Genomic DNA, 18,006 nt, shown 5'->3' on the forward strand with positions numbered 1-18,006 from the left:
CCAGCACAATTAAAGATAAGTTCTTGCCTTGTCTGTCACTATTAATGACCACTACAAGCCATGACAAAAATCATAAACAATCATTCCTATTTAGCTCTGAATTTCAAGGCTCAGTACATTTTATTATATATATCCTAGGATATTTCAGATTTAGAAGTTCCTTTATGCCTCTTATTCAGTTTTTATAATTTTATTTTTATCAAATATAGAGGATGCTGCCATATGCTCTAAAAGGCAAACAAAATAAAAAACAACACAAAACCAAAACACATAACTATTTATGAGTATAAAGCCTCATCTAACACTATAGTATCCCTTGATTTCCAGATCAGCTTGTCTTGTTCATTAAATTTATTTTATTTGCAATGGGTTATGTCATTCCCCTCCTCAATAGATGTCTTCATTGCCATTTTTTGTAGGAAAAAAAAAAAAAAAACAGAGAAAAGAAGAAAGATCACGTTGCAGCACTGGGAGCAGATATCACAGGCTTCCTTGCCAACAGACTTCCCGAAGGCACAGTTGGCACATTGTCTGAGATGACAGACAAGATGCAAGGGACTCCTGTGACCCTTACAGGGGAAGCTTCTGCTGTGGCTGGTAGGATGGTAGCTTTAACTCATCCTCCATAATACCAAATGTCACTTTGTGGGGGTAGCCTTCTGGCATTGACACTTGTTTTTGTATGCCATAGTTCAAAGTACCACACTACGAAATAGCTCCAGAATGTGCCTTGTAACATTTAGTCACAATAAGGGCATTTACATTCTTCCCAAATATCCTTTCAAAAAAAAAAATCAGTAGATTCACACTCTTGAGTGAGATGCAAAATTGCAAAGGGTTCAAGATATGTTCTTGGTCCTTAGAACAGAAAACATATTCTTCTTGTACTCTGTTTAGTGAGTTCAGTTAAGGCTATTAGTTTCTGAGCTGTTTTATAAGCCAGGAGTCGGCCCACTGCTGTCTCCCTTGACTATACATTCAATAAATAGAATGTGATTATACAAAACTAAATTTTCCAGAACCATTATTGAAAGTGCCATAGGAACGTCTAATTAATAAGAATACTATAGAGGAATAATCAGGATATTACGAATTAAATCCTGTCCCTCCAAAAGATACATTCAAGTACTAAGTCCTGGTACCTGTGAATGTAACCTAATTTGGAAATACAGCCTTTGCAAAGGTATTTCGTTTAAGGCTGTACTAAATTGGGGGAAGATGCTAATCCACTACGACTAGTGTCTTTATCAAAGGAAAAAATTTGTACATAGACGTGGAAACAGGGACACAGAAGAAAGAACATTATGCGAAGACAGAAGTGGAGATCGGGGTTGATGCTGCCACAGGTGAAGGAACACCTGGGCTACAAGAAGCTGGAAAAGGCAGGGAAGGGTTCTCATCTCAAAGTCTTTGAGGCAGCAAGGCCCTCCCAACAACTTGATTTTGGACTTCTACCCTCCAGAACTCAGAGAGAACAAATCTCTCTTGTTTTAAGCTACACAGTGTGTGGTATTTTGTGGCACTCCAGGCAGCTAGAGGAATAAGTCTTTGAAGCTTGCAAGGGAGTTCTGGTGGTGTATCACAGTGTCCACCTCAATGGATTAATTTGTAGTCATCAACATAAATAAATCTGGATTTTTAAAAGGGATGAAGCGTGTTTTCTGATAAACTAAAATCTCTATGTTATATAGAAGACGCACAATCACTAATGAAGATACACTTACACAACCTAAGTGCCACAAAGAATCCTCTTCCAGAAATATCCTTCCAGGAGAGGCCATCTCTCAAGCCTACTATTTGTTACACTCTTCACTGTAAGGATTGCATAACCTATAGCCCACTGAATGTGAAGAACATGTGCAAAATCCTGGTATTTCAATTGTTAGCGCTTTTCAGGTATGGCTTTATAAGACAAGCACTGATGACAACCACTTATATTCAATACAAAGAGTTTTGTGTTTAGCCACTTGAGAACAGGGATTACTTTAGATAGATCTTAGTATTCCAATAAACTGGCACAGTATCCACCACATAGTGAGTGCCAAAAATGGTTGAGGAAGTTGTAGACATTAAATATGTGTAAGTGGTTGGTTAAACATGAGGGAGATAACCTGTAACTGAAAACCGAGTAAAAGTATTTAATATCAGGTTGGTGAAAAAGTAATCGTGGTTTTTACAATTACTTTTAATTTACATTACTTTATATGTATGCAAACAACATAGTTTGCAAGGATATTCACATACATTATTTAATTTTCAAAACAACAGTGTCAAATAGATATTATTGTGTTTTATGGACAGGAAATTGAGGCTCAGGTAATATCAAGTGAAATCCCCAAGATCATATAATTAATAAATACTGTAAAAACGGTAGAAGTGACTCACATTTCCAATCTCCATGCTATCTCATATACTCTAATTGCCTCTTGGGGAAACATAGGCTGGAAGAAGACCAGGCCTCATTGTAAACTCTCGAGTGCCCAGAAATTATTTACTTCAACTATTTCTATCACAGTTTGTCCACTTTAAATGGGGTAGAGATTTTCTGAAACCTCCTTTCTCATTTGAACAATCTGAGAATACATGTGTTTAGGCTTAAATCATACCAGAAACTGTCAGGCAGAACAGTCCCTTTGTAAGCCCAAGGATTATACAACTTTAGTTGTATAATTTAGTTGTATGATTATACAACTAAAATTTTAACCAGATACAGTCCCAAATGAATTATGTTAATTCACTCTATTATTTCTCTTTTTAAGATTACAGAAATTTTATGCCAATTTTATCTACATTATGCTGCAATATTCTAAATATCCCTAATTAAATACCAACTATTTTGATGAAATATTTTCTTTAAAGTCATCATTTATTATCATCTGATATGAAAACCATTCCTACTAGACACTGGATGCTTTAACTGCCCAGCATCTCTCTAATATGAAGTAACAGGTCCTGAACTCTGCCCCTACCAGCATGTCCTTCAAAATCATCACTATGGGAGGAAGCATAAGAACAATGCAGCTGTGTCTTCTGGGCCCAAGCTTGGTGAATCCCAGTACTTTCCTAGGAATCTGGAATTTGGACCTGAGAATCAGAGATGTCAGGGGTCATTCAAGCTGCATCACATAACTGCAGTGTTCTAGGAAGGAGGTCCAGGATGCCTGGCTACCAAATTCCCTGAAGCTCGTCGTCTTAATATAAAGTTGCTTGTAAGATATTCTGAAAGACTAGCCAGAAATAAATCAGCCAAAAACTAATTCTGAGAGCATAAGCCTGACCAGAATAAAATTTAACTACCTCATTACAAATGAAATTTCAAAACTCATTTGGACATTTCATAATGAAACCCATCATCTATAGTACAAGCCATGCTATGGATGACAAAAAAATTAATAAGTCACACTTAACACTATTGAACTGTATACTTAAAAATCGTTAAGACAGTAAATTTCATGTTATGTGTTTTTTATCGCAATAAAAATTTCTTTAAAACCATCCCCCAAAAGTAATATAGAATTAACATACTAGTTATGAATATAGTATTTATCCAGATGAAGTTTCCTCTTTCCAGTTGATGAGGATTTAAATTTGTTGGTCATGACAAAGAGATGAGGCTCCAAATGTGGCCCTGAATAATAATAAATTGTACTCTTGAAGAAATTGATATACACTAGCAGTGATGTGCCGGTCAAAGTTTAACAATCAGCTCTCAAACAATAAAAAAGCTCTGATTTTGTAGCACTGGTCAGTTTCCATGATATAAATATTCCCATCATGGCCTATTTCAAGCTATTTATGTGGCGTCAGTCAACACAGAGTTGTGAAGAGATGCAGACAACTGGCTCTCTTGAGAGGGCTTCAGCATACCACGGGGGTCATGGAAAACAAAACCACCCCAGATATCTCCTGTGTCATTTCATTTATTTCAGGCTCAAAATGTATTGATGTAAGGAAATGAGCCTAACAAGTATGACGTGGCTACTGTGTGCCAGACCCATTTAAAATGATCTAATTTTATAATGTTATGTATACCACTGAATTGTACATTTAAAGGGTGAATTTTATGGTATGTGAATTATATCTCAATTTAAACAAATGTTCTGTATAATTCCTCATCACACAATTGACTATATTTCAGGAAAGATTTTTTTCCATATTAAAAAAAAATCCTTTTAAGTTCGCCCAAATGAAAGATTGCAGACAGTGAAAAGTCATTATCTTTTTCATCATGGGCACTGTTGTTACCTGAATGCTTACCTAAATTGCATGCTGTAGCAGTTTATAGTGTTCACCTCTGGGGCACAAGTAACAAGAGGGTAACTTGGAAGTTTCTCCTGGTAGCTTAATGTTAGGGTGCAGTCTGTAAACCTGTCAGCTCTTTGCCTTTCATAAAAACTGATGTTGGTATTTGTAGAAGGTTATTGGTCCCAGCAAGAATCACAGTCGATAACTGTTCCAGTTGTGCTTCAAAAGAACCAATGATGTTATAGAAGATGAGAGCTTCAATTTTTATCTGTATGACAATTTAAATATATTTAACCATTCTTTTAGAAAATTATATTCTCATTATTAAAACAATGATGCAAGTTACAATACTAAAATCATAAAATTCTGGACTGAAGAATGCCTACAAATTTATTCTGACATATTTCTTTTATAGACGAAAAGAGACGCCGGGCGTGGTGGCTCACGCCTGTAAACCCAGCACTTTGGGAGGCCGAGGCGGGTGGATTATGAGGTCAGAAGATCAAGACCATCCTGGCTAATACGGTGAAACCTCATCTCTACTAAAAATACAAAAAATTAGGCAGGGGTGGTGGCAGGCACCTATAGTCCCAGCTACTCGGGAGGCTGAGGCAGGAGAATGGCGTGAACCCAGGAGGTGGAGCTTGCAGTGAGTAGAGATCGCGCCACTGCACTCCAGCCTGGGCGACAGAGTGAGACACCATCTCAAAAAAATAAAAATAAAAATAATAGATGAAAAGAGAATTATCTAATAATAACCCTTTTCTCTTCAAAAGAGAACTAGAACTAGCAACTAGAGAACTCATTAGTTACTTGAACCCTGGCTCCAGCTTCCTCCTCACCACCCTGCCATGTGGCATTGAAATTCAGAACGTTTTCCTAAATTCCTACCTTAATTTCCCATTCCAGAAACAGCAGACTTCTTCAATGAAATCTTCTCTGTTTTGTACATTTTCAGTATAGTAGTTCCCCCTTATCCACGGTTTTGCTTTCCACAGTTTCAGCTACCCAGGACACCATCTGAAAATAAGTGAGTAGAATATATTAAGATTTTTTTTGAGAGAGAGAGCATATTCATGTAACTTTTATTATAATATATTGTTATCATTGCTCTATTAGTGTTGTTAATCTCTTACTGTGCCTAATTTATAAATTAAACTTTATCAAAAGTGTGTATTTATAGGGGAAAACATAGTATATATAGTGTTTGGTACGATTCAAAGTTTCTGGCATCTACTGGGGATCTGGGAACGAATCCTCCTCTGTTATAGGGGGACTACTGTACATCTAGATATTTACATCATTAAGAAACAATGCTTGGAACATACTAGGTTATCAAGAGTTAATGCATATCTTTCAACTTAATATGATTCGGCTCTGTGTCCCCAACCAAATCTCATCTAAATTGTAATTCCTACATATCAGGGGAGGGACTAGATGAGAGATGACTGGATCATCGAGGTGGTTTCCCCCATGCTGTTCTCATGATAGTGAGTTCTCAGGAGAGCTGATGGTTGCAAAGTGTGGCACTTCCTCTTGTCACACTTGTGTAAAAGGCACCTGCTTCCCCTGTGCCTTCCGCCATGATTGTAAGTTTTCTGAGGCCTCCCAGCCATGCTTCCTGTTAGGCCTGCGGAACTGCGAGTCAATTAAACCTCTTTCCTTTATAATTACCCAGTCTCAGGTAGTATTCTTTATAGCAGTGTGGGAACAGAATAATACACAACTCTCAATTTCTCACTTCTAATAATGAAACTTACAACTTATGTTGAATCTAGTGTCCACAGTTTCAACTATAAGTTTGATTTCATACTATTCAATATATATGAATACACACACATTAACATATATATATATCTACATACTACCTCAAACAGTTGTTTTTGCACTGGTTCTGCCTTTAAAGGTAATTGGCGGCTGGGCGCGGTGGCTCACGCCTGTAATCCCAGCACTTTGGGAGGCCGAGGCAGGTGGATCACCTGAGGTCAGGAGTTTGAGACCAGCCTGGACAACATAGTGAAACCCCATCTCCACTAAAAATACAAAAATTAGCTGGGCATGGTGGCATGCACCTGTAATCCCAGCTACTGGGGAGGCTGAGGCAGGGGAATTGCTTGAACCTGAGAGGCGGAGGTTGTGGTGAGCTGATATCGCACCACTGCACTCCAGCCTGGGCGACAGAGCAAGACTCTGCCTCAAAAAAAAAAACAAGTAATTGGCAATAAGGTATAAAAGTTGACAGTGTTACATGCTAGTCAGCAAAAGGAAAATTTTAGATTCCAACCATATCATCACCAATATAGCTAGTAATAGTGGCTAAACTTCCTGGAGCACTACATTTCATACCTTAAATGATTGTCATAATTTTAAAAGTAGGAGCTCTTATTAATCCCATTTTTTACTCAAGGAAATTGGGAAAAAGAAAAGGTAGCTTGCCTACTACTACATGTTGCAGCCCAACCTTGAACACAGGTAGTCATCTCTACGGCCTTGGGCACTTCATATGAGGTCTACACAGCCCTCATCAATGAGGTCTAATTAGCCCCACCCTAACCTTTTACAGTTGCAAGGAATGCTTTCTGAAAAGCAGATGAAGTACTGGGGGCTAAGGAGGAGTGATGGAGATGCCAGAGAACAGAGGCTCCTACATTCCTTCCTTCTCTCCCTCATTCCCTCTCTTCTAGGGATGGAATTAATGTCCATCTGCCCCTACAGTCCACAAACTCCTTAGGAGCATAACTATAGGACTTTACGGTATTCGGCATTGTATCTCCAGCATCTAGTATAATACCAAGCACATAATAGGCATTTGATATTTATGGAATGAATGAATCCTTTCAGGTTTTGAGTGTTAAATGAAAATGCACAGGACATGAAGAATTTGCCACAATATCTGACATGTTCTAGGTGCTTAATAAATATTAGTTACTGTTATTCTACTGTTCTTATCTACTGTTACTATTATTTGTCTATAGAATAACCTTAAGCAGAGTAAAGGTTCTATTTCATTGCTCCATTGTTTATTTTATTGATCCCCTGTTACCTGATCTTTAAATGGGTCCCATTTTATTCACAGAACAGAGTCAACATGAGTGTGAGGACGGTCATTATTATTCTCAACACACATGCAACAATTACTTTTCAATGAATTTTTAGAAGTGAAATTGCTGGGTCAAAGTGTATACAAAATTCTAAGGCTTTTGATTTTTATAAAGAGAACCACATTTTTAAAATCTCTGATAAAAGTTAATCATCATGACTCAAAATAGATTTGCCAATCTATTACCCTGGAATAAAATGATTCAATAGAAGAGAAAAGCTATTTGCACAAGGAGATTTCTTTCAACTCATTTCAATTGTCAACAAATACAAAATTACTGAAACATCCAGCAATAAGGTACTGTTTAAGTTACTATACATCAGCATAATGGAATATTATACAGCCATTAAAATAAGTCTAATGACTATATAGCAACATGGAAATGACAGAAACATGGGGAAATGTTTGACACTAATATTAAGTGAATAAGGAGAACAAATAAACACTGAAAGAAAATTTTCAAGACTAAAAACAGTAATGATGAGTCATCTTTTTCTTTTCCAAAAGCAATTGAGAGAAGTGACCACATTCTAATAAGCCTTTTATGTCAGACAGGAGTGGGCCACATAAATTGGATCATTCTGTGAAATCAAAACTAAGGTTCACTATTTTTAAACCTGCCATTAACGTGTACTACATGTTAGTTGGCAATAAGTATTGTAAAGTAATTAATTTAAGATGTTAAAAATTGAGTTTCCAACAAATTAGCGAAACTGAATTATAAATTCATTCTTCTCACATCTATTGCCATCAGCCTTTTGTGTTGGTATAGCACTTTGTGTTAACATAGCAGTCAGAAGGCATGGATGGTATTTATAGTGTAGGCTATTAAAATACTGTAGTAATGCAATGAAGAATATCCTTGTTCTAATCATCTTTCTTTCTAGGAAGCTGGTTACAGCCCACTTGAGTTCTCTTTACCACCTCTGGTGGGGAGAGCATGGGGATATAAGTCCTTTCTATTTCTGCTTAATTATCAATGGCTCAATCTTAAGTCCAGGCAAGAGGCTTTTGAGCAAGTATCAAAAAGAAGTACTTAAATTCTGAGCATGGAGCCATTTTGAAAGTTGGATATCCTTGTCAATTACCTAACATCTTCAAGTCTTCACGTCCTCAGCTACCTATGAAAATAATACCACCTAATGTTATATAGAGGCTGTGTGGATTAAATGAGAGAATAGGGCAATGAGCCTGCCAAAGAGAAGGCACTGCCATGTTCATGCCCTCCCCTTTCTATGCTGCAAGTCCATAGCAAATGCTCCTCAGTGGCTCTTACCGCTTTCAGGTCAAGGACTCTGGGAATTTTAGGGAATCTAAGGACCCACTATATAGAAAAAAAAGCAGACCCACTCACACAAAATGCAGCACATGATTTCAAGGGTTACACAAACCTCAGGGAGGATCTTCCATGGACTGCCTAGGCTTCCACAGATCAATGGTTAGGAAATCCTTGGTCAGTACAAAGTCCCCAGGGAGGAACAGTGAAAACAAGTGTGGAAAATCACAAGAACAAAGAGAGTGGGAGGTGAAGGATTGAAGGAAAAAAAAATAAGTAAAAGAAGATAAATGAAAAATGGAAGAAAGGAAAGATGTGGAAACTTGGTTCGGGAAGAGAGAATATGTAAGAATATGGACCCATTTGCAAGCCATTGTCCCTGTTGTGGCCTTAGAAACATTTGACAACAAAATGTACCCTAATCCTAAATATAATCAAATTCTAAAAGCCAAATTGACCTTCCAGATGTTGAGGGTGAATAATTAAAGTCAGTCCTTTCCCAGCCCCACATTCAGTGCATTATACTGATGAAGGTTTGCTTTTGTGCTTGGCTTCACTGCTTTAGAATTACAGAACCACCATTTCTGGAGGCTTCTTTGAACCACATTCACAAACAGATTAGCTTAATTATTTACTGCTTTCCTAACTCAGATGAAATGGTTCTGTTAAGGGAAAAAAAGTTACTCCCAGAAAAGACAAGACAATATCCAAGCCAAGTGAGAGCTCTCTGCTGGGTCTTTGCTGCCCTCTTTGTTGCCGTTTCAGCCCAGATTCAAAGGCACATTTCTGGCGTATCTGTTTTCCTGCTCTTCTCCCTTCCCTATTGTTAGCCTTCCCAAATAAAGGAAGAGGGCCTACTTCACCATGCACCCTCAGGGCTGGAGTCAGCAGACCCCAATATAGTGGCAGGTCTCCCGTCACTCTCACATGGCCTTGTTTCCTGCCTCTGGGCATAAGTAGAATTTTCTGTCAGTGAAACCACCAGAATGGGATTTTACCAGGGTTCATACTTCAACCCAGTGGTTCCCCACCAGAGACCATTTTGCCCCCAGAAGTCATTTGCAATGATTGGAAACATTTTTGGTTGTCATAACCAGTGAAGAAAGAGAAGATGGAATCTGGTAAGGAGGGGCCAGAGATGCTGTTAAACAATGCACAAGACAGCCCCCTAGCCCCCACCACAATAATAAATTAGCCCCAAATCTCAATAATGGCAAGGCTGAGAAACCTAACTCCAAAGTTAGAATATGGACATTTGAGAGAGATGTTTCCATCCGTAATTCTCTTGCCTCAACTCACACCACCACAGTATTTGTCTAATGTGTCTTTCTCTTTAGCTACACACTCAACTCTCTTATGAACCTCGAAACTTCATTTAAGTGGGTTCTCTAAAGAAAACAATATAGTATGCTTCCCTATTCTTATGAGTCTGGTGCCTAGGAAGAAAGATGACTGAAATAAACTCCAGGAAGGAATCCCCAGTGCCACTTAAGAACCAACTGAGTTCGAAAAGATACTTAATCTCTTTGAGCCTGAACATAATAAGACAGTGGATCTTGCAAGGGTGTTGGGATTAAACAATATCTATCTGTGTCTGATCCAGTGCTTGTTGAAATAGGTGCTCAATAAATGCTATTAATACTTAATATCAATCGACTCCAAAGTGTATTGTACATCATAATTAACCTGAGGATATTGTTAGAATTCACATGCTCAGGCCCCATCCCCAGAGGTTCTGATTTTCTATGCCAGGAATGTTTGTCTAGCATCTGCATTTTGTAGAAGACACCAGGTGGTTCTGATCTACCTAATCCATGGATCACATAGGACAAACGCTGTTGCCCAGGGGTTGGCACTGAACTTCCCCAAATATTCTGAAACAGACACACTGGTTCCTTAACCTCCAGAAAGGTGGCAACACTGGGACATTCTTTCTTGCCTCCCTTTTCTCTAGAATCTAAGTTTCAGGATAATTAATCTGATGAGTTATTTTTCCCAACATGATGCCCTCCTCTCTCTCTGTTAGCTACAGACTCATGGATGTTTTTATCTCTTATTCTGAAAAGAAAATTTGGCCAAATGAGCCAGCAGATAACAACTTGGGAAAGAGGAACTGATATATGCTGACTTACCCTTGGAGAGTATCACGGTGTCAAAAAAAAAAAAAAAAAAATCTGGCTTTAGTGTCAAACAGACTGGAGTTTCTATCTGAGCCCTGCCCTTTGCTTACCCTCTGAGCCTCAGCATTCTTAGGTGTAAAATGGCAATGCAAACACCTATTTCCTCCACTAGCAGGTGTTCTCAATTAACTGCTCTGCATGGGTTGGTCATTCTGGGATTAGTTCCTCTTGTATATGGCCAACAATACAAGTTACATATCCATTCTTCCTTTTTTGCTACCAGAATTCCAGCATTTAGTGAAGGGAGGGAGACAGCAATGTACCCAGTTTAAAAAAACAACATCCTTCATCCTTATTTGCAGCTAGGAATGGCCATATGACATAATTCTGACCAAGAAGACCCAAGATGAATTCAGCTGAGGGTTTCTAGGAAAGTAGTCTTTTCTGTCCCCTTCTTGTTGCTTTCTCCTTTTCTTCCTCCTCTTATTATTATTCCTCTTTCCACTATTGGAATGTGTGAGGCTAGGGGTGGCGTGGCCAAATTGCATCTGTGATGACGAAGGTCCATGCTAAGGATGATGGAACAAGAAGCCTGAGTCCTTGGTAGGGTCCGTAAAGCAGCTGTATCAGCCTTATACTGTCCACCCCTAGACTTGATGCTACTTGACAAAAATAAGCCTCTGTTTAAGCCACTGTTATTGGGTTTCGGAATACATACGACAAAACATAATCTCTAACCAAACTACTGCCCCTGGAACAGAAGTGCTTCATCCCAGCCAGAAGATCACTGGCACTGGCAACATCCAGCCTTTCTAGGTTAAGCCTCTTGTTTTTGTAGCTCTCCTCTTTGCTTGGACTTTTCTAACTTGGATCTGCCCCCTGGAATACTGTGCTGCAAACTGGTTTATTGGGTGATTTTTTTCTACCTGCTGTTTGCCCTAAAAATCTTTGCTCTATTTTTCTTTCTGAACTCACTTATCTTCCTGGTTCTGATGTCATTTTTCTGCCAGAACGAAATGGGTATGTCCCTATAAGGAAGGTCTTCAGAGCTGAGATTAGGGCATGCAGTGAATTGCAAAGGAGTAAAATTTAAGGAGGCACTCACTCGCAGGTCGCAAGTGAAGGGTTGGTGTGTTAAGAAGTTGAGTAAGTACCTACTTAAATTGCCTCACAAGCCTCATCCTATTTGCCCTAGACTGACTGTCCTTTCCCTCTACACCTGTCCAGGCTTGTCCCCACTACCGCCTTCAAGTTCAGTGCCTTTCCAACTGAAGTTTTTTACTACTATCTTTTTGTGAAATCTCTATGATGGATACAGTGTTTATTTAATGTTATGCAATAGAATTGAAAATACCAGAAAGCATCCGACATAGAATACATATCATTACTTTTGTTTCAGCTATACAGATAAGTATGAGGTGTACAAGTGCATTACTAGGTAAAATGTAATACTCTAAATTATAGTTCAATAATTTTTTTCAATTCTTTTTCCTGGCCTATCCTCCGCCTCCATCCAGGTGTCTCACCTTCTACTCACCATACAAGCTATCTACTAAATTTCACCTGAAAACTTAGCTTACATAAGCTTATATAACATTTAGCATATATTAGCTACAATGAGCTTATGTATGTGCTGCTATGTAATGTCCCCAGCCCCCCAAAGTCTAATGTTGTTCAAAATTATGGATTCCTTCATAAAGGTATGGACCAATGTATCACGAGTACTTAACAGCTTATCTTTACTGTTTATATTATAAAAGATTGTTCACCTTCTTATGACAATTAATATTTCCACATGTATTCCTTTGAAGAAGTGGACTTGATAATTTTAGAGTTTTGCTATCACAGTGTAGGTCAAGCCTGTATTTTTATGTTAGGAGCTTTTGGGAACATCAACCTAGATTTTCAAAATTTTCTCTCTGAAAGAGCCACACCTCAAATCTTCTAACGCTTGAGGTTTCTCAGCTCTGCTAGAAAACATAAAAGGTATCTGAAATTCTTAGAAGGACTCAAAGTAACAGGAACCTTGATTTCTACCGTTTAGATTGGCGCTAAAATCTTCACAAGGGCTTATTAGGGCTTACGTTATCTATTCCATTTGAGAAGCTAAGCATCACACAAAGCCAATAAAAAACCTAGGAGACATCTACTGTAATTCTATGTAACGTATGAAACAAATGAAATGTATTATCTGAAGGATACAGACCTTAAGACTACAACCAAGATGAGGAAGAAAAAGTGTATGTAATTGAAAATGCAGCAAATATATCAGAGTTACCCAAATAGCTGATAGAAGGTAAAGTACATCATTGCAAGATGTGGCCTAATTGAGCTAATTTATCACTTTTGCACCTTGGCATACCAAAGGCAATTATGTCCACACAAGTACCAAGGACAAGAAGATGCAAAAATTAAGAGAACATTTTTAAAATTTGGATTTCTGATGCTCGAAGCCCTAATTAAAGTGTTGTCCACTCCCTAAGTAACAAATGCTTGCTGTACCTGGCATATTTTAGGCTCTCAGTGAATGTGTGTAGAAGCAATGAATAAATATTTGAACAAGGATATGTAAATTCAGATACATTTCTCCTTTATTTTTTAAATTTTAGAGACAGGGTGGTCTTGCTATGTTGCCCAGGCTGGTCTTGAACTCCTGGCCTCAAGCAATCCTCCCACTTCAGCCTTTCAAAGTGCTGGGATTATAGGGGTGAGTTACCGCACCTGGCCCAGATACATGTTTGATCCTTCATATATAGCAAGCTACCAACAACAATTTCTGGATTTAAAAATCTAAAAGTATTCATAAGAGTATCTTTTCCATTCATTTGCAATCATATTGGAATTCAGGAGAGTCAGGTTCATATATTTTTTATTCATTTATATTATTCCATTAAAATGCTATCGGTAACTAATTGCTCTGTAGAAAGTAATTGCATTTGAAGCCATTTGTAAAATAAGTCTTTCATCTTTCAAGCAACAATTTGTTTTGCCAAGAATAAAACTCTTAAACACAAACACATTACAAATGGACTTTAATTATGTTCCAAATGTGATTTCTTTGCTTATGTTATTTCTATGTTCTGCATTTGTATGTAACTTGTACTTTACGTTGTTTCTCTTCTTTGTTCTCATGTTAGAGAATTTGAAAATGTGGATGATACAAAAATCATTATCATAGTGTTCAGTGGCCTGGTACACCTACGACCCCCAAATTTAATTCAACATTTATCCAGCATGTACTAATTGCTCTGCACGCACATTAATTGGGAACCTATGGTATTCTAGATGCTTCACGACATAAATTTATTAGATGCCTCCTATTGGCCAAGGTTCAGAGCTGAACTACATGCTGTTCCTACCCACACAAGGTTCACACTAATTAATCTACCATCATATATAACATGTGAAACAAAATGATTGGCTATTTTACTGCTGTTTCCCAGCTTCCAGTTGAATATTTAGACAGTTCATCTTGAGAAGCTTGTTCCATTTGTCCCCAAGCTGGATGGTTGGCATTGTGTTCAAAATGTTCTTGGGCTAAGATCATGCAAGCCCTAACAAGAAATGAGTTTTCCAGAATCGTCAACATGAAACGGCAAGTAATTCTGTGCTCACTTTTAGCGTGTGAAACCTCAAATGTCATTTTTCTAGTTCTCTGGGTTTCTGTCTGCCACTGTGTAAATAAAGGGGTTGGCAAGGTGATACTGACTACTCCTCCAGTTCGCATTCTATAGTTCTATTTAGACAGCTCATTTGATCACTGGACATTTCTATGTAAGAATCTATGAAACAAGCTTGCTGGAACCAACCTCTTAAAAAGTCCCTGCTCTACAAAAGATTATCATGTCCACCCACAGACAACAGGAATTCTTTTCTGGTCATCAAAGAATGTATTCTCCTTGTTTACAGCAGTGCATGTCATCTCTGGTAACAATGATGCTATAAAGGTTTCCAAAGATTTGCAGCAAAGTGTGACAATTTGTGCAAGGACTATGCAAAAGGCTTAAGTTCTATATGCATATAGGGTTATTTCCATCTCTATTTATTGATACACATGCACGTCTATATGTATTTATGCCCATATGTGCATAGCATGTAATGAGTTATATATGCATAGTGCCAGGACTATGCTCATTTTCACATATAATTCTCACAACAAACCCCAAAGTGTTTGTCCAGTTTTCCAAAACAAAAAACTGAGGTTGGCTTATAGATTGAACATAATTTGCCTAAACTTAACAGTGAGAAAGTGACGGAGCTATAAAGTCAAGTTTATCCAACTCTGAAGGAAGGACACTAAAAATTTACATTCATATAAATATAAGGATTTCACATGACATAAGTTGTTAGAAACTGGACTGGTAGAAGATTGAGAATTGTTTCAGTAAGAAATATGCAAATCCTGTAGGCATTAATTTGCTCCTGAAAGTCTACCATCCTTATGCTCATAGAGAAGCCATCTATACAGTAAGGCAAGACTAACCAGAACTGGAATACAATCATTAAGAAGCAACATATAAATATTGCTAAGCTTACCCCTTACTAGCAAGGATGTCATAACATAACCACAACAATGTAATGGAAAGTTAACATCTAGGAAAGCATTAGCAACAGCTTAAAACACATAAAACAATTATGATGGTTGCCTCACTTCCGTACTTTCTTTAGTACAATTTATGGCAATTCACATTCCACATGTTCTAACACCAGTACACAAAATAATGGCGAAATCTAGGTTTGTGAAACAGCATATATACATTGCTTCTTTGTTATTTCCAATATACTTATATAACCAAAATTAGTAAATTACTTTAAATAATTATGTCCAGTTAACTTCATACTGTTGGTATCCCCAAAGCATCTTGAGAGATGCAAACAATGCTATTAAATTAACAAGGAGCAGGTTTGCATTTCGCTATGTAATATTTTAGTGCTAACATAGGATTTCCTTAGTACCCTGCTACAGGAATTATACCTATTTATTCTGGGGCCAGAGAATTTGATGTATATTTAATGTTAGCCTAAGAAACATAAAATATAGTCCATACGATATCTAATGTGTTTAGTTTTCTATGCATTTGTATGGGTTATTCATAGAGATTTACCTGGAGATAAACATTGTATTAAAACATATGAAAACTTTAAGTTAAATGTTTTGCTTTCCAAGTTACTGAACTGGTTTCCAAAGGACTTTGCCATTCAGAAGGATGAAATATATAAAACACATACATAACCCTTTTAATATGAAGTCTAATCAGAAGGGTGGTAGTATATTTGTTTCTATAAGTAAAAAATTGTGGTCCCCACTGATAGGGACAGGAGAGAGGGAAATACTGAGTAGACGAATGCTACCAGGAAAGACCCCAGCCTTAAGCCTGGAAACCCACAGTCCTAAATGAGAACAGGCATTCTTGTTTTCACGCCCAAAAAGTTGCCTTCTGGCCTACTACACCCTTGATCTTGTACCCATATAAACCCCGAACCCCAAGCTCCAGAGGCAGATGAGCAGATGAATGGCAGAGCGGCATGGCAGAGAAGGAGAGTAGAGAAGAAGCATATGAACACCGAGAGGAGTTTGGCTGGGGACCGTCAGAGAGGAGATCGGCCACTGGACAACCAAACTCCAGGGTAAGATCATCTTCCCACTCCATTCCCCTTCCAGCTCCTCATCTATCCCACTGAGAGCCACCTCCACCGCTCAATAAAACCCCTGCATTCATCCTTCAAATCTGTGTATGACCTGATCCTTCCTGGACGCTGGACAAGAAGCTGGGTACCAAGGGGAGTCCACTAAATTGCTTAACACTTAAGCCGTCTGTGGACTGCAGAGCTAAAAGAGCAAATGTAACAGTGGGGCTTCAACAGTCACAGGCACCCAGCCCTAGATGCTGCTGTGGGGCCAAAGCCCAAAAGCGCTCACCCTAGTTCGCACACCTGCCCATCTTTGTGCTCCCCCTCCCATAAGGGTTTGAGCTAGCAGCAGCCAAACAGAGAGCCACATCCCTGTCACACGTCCTGTGAGGTGGACCAGGAAACTCTCCTGTCTTACTACCAGTTGTTTTATTAGGTGGCCTCTAGCAGGTGGCTCAGTCTTTAGATCAGAGTTTCTCAATGAGAGGCAGAGGTACAATAGGGGATCTGTCACATTGCTTTTTCCCTTGCCAGGTATTTTAGAATCTTGAGATTGAAAAGAGTAGGGCATATAAATTTTTCAAATTATATTGAGCATTTTAATAGATTTTCGAAAACAAAAATATTCTTATAACAATACAGACTAAAAATTGGTAGAACCTCAATTGTTGGCAATATTCATAGATTTTATGATTTCAACTAGGGGGTAGAAGACATAACATGTCCAGGAGGCCATTCCATTTTTATTTTCACTAGCCATGGACATACATGGACTTACTTTTTTTAAGAAACACAACTTTAGATGGCTTTTAAATCAGCTCTAAACATTCTCATGCTCTGTGACTTACGGTTTAGGCACTACACCTTGATTCCTGAATATACTATTGGATTATAACTGAGCTGTTTTGCTTTTCACCCTGAGTTTTACAGGAATTTGAGAATGCTGGTCAGACAAAAAAGTACGTTGTACTGGAGATTCCTGAGATGATTCTAAAACCGTCCTGAAAAACAGTCATACAGGAGTAGATTACAAAGACAACACCTGCTAGGGAAATATATATCTTTGAGACATCTTCTGACTAATAAGTCTCCCTGTCATTTGAAAATGAAAGGAAAATGAGATCTGGAAGCCTAAAATATCACAAATGTTTTGGCACCTAATATTTTGGTGTGCTGGGCCTGGTCTGACTCACAATAACCTGCAAGAGTGTATTGTGTACATCTCTACGCAACAGCTTGAAGTCACTCATGATAGGAATCTTTATGCCACTGAAATTAGCAAATGCCACAAATCAAGCCTCTCACCTCTACCCCCAAAGATAGTTGTTAAACATTTAGTAACATTTATGGAGGAATGAAGGAGGATTCCTTAAGGATATTTGTTTTTGAGTTTTCCATGTAATAAAAATGCCATAGTTTATGGTTTGTTTATTCAATAACTTTCTCAATAATGTTTATGAAGGGGATTTTGTTTTCCACCTGAATGAGAAGGCAAACTGAAGCATATCTGAAACTCTGCATGTAGTTGTGCTTCCTGTCCTCAGGGGAGATGGCATAAGGATAGAGATAGAGAGCTTCTTGACAGGGACAACACACAGCCTGAAAGAGACGCCTGAGAAGGTGCTGGGAGTAGT

The 18,006-nt window shown here is 38.2% G+C and overlaps 1 long non-coding RNA gene across 1 annotated transcript in view, besides 1 other annotated feature; it reads right to left on the reverse strand.

The window, feature by feature from the left end:
* Positions 1 to 18,006, reverse strand: part of LINC02889 (long intergenic non-protein coding RNA 2889) — a 95,465-nt gene that overhangs the window by 14,825 nt on the left and 62,634 nt on the right. Inside the window, exon 2 of the long non-coding RNA NR_110013.1 lies at positions 5,137 to 5,265. This is a non-coding gene — a long non-coding RNA (long intergenic non-protein coding RNA 2889). The remainder of the gene's footprint in view (positions 1 to 5,136; positions 5,266 to 18,006) is intronic.
* Positions 14,307 to 14,466: a silencer, noted in NCBI's record as "silent region_17986". NCBI's record gives its function as "represses an Ori minimal core promoter by ATAC-STARR-seq in GM12878 lymphoblastoid cells {active_cell/tissue: GM12878}" and the evidence as "EXISTENCE:reporter gene assay evidence [ECO:0000049][PMID:35858748]".

This window comes from Homo sapiens, chromosome 7 (genome assembly GCF_000001405.40).
Source record: "Homo sapiens chromosome 7, GRCh38.p14 Primary Assembly".
Taxonomy (NCBI): domain Eukaryota; kingdom Metazoa; phylum Chordata; class Mammalia; order Primates; family Hominidae; genus Homo; species Homo sapiens.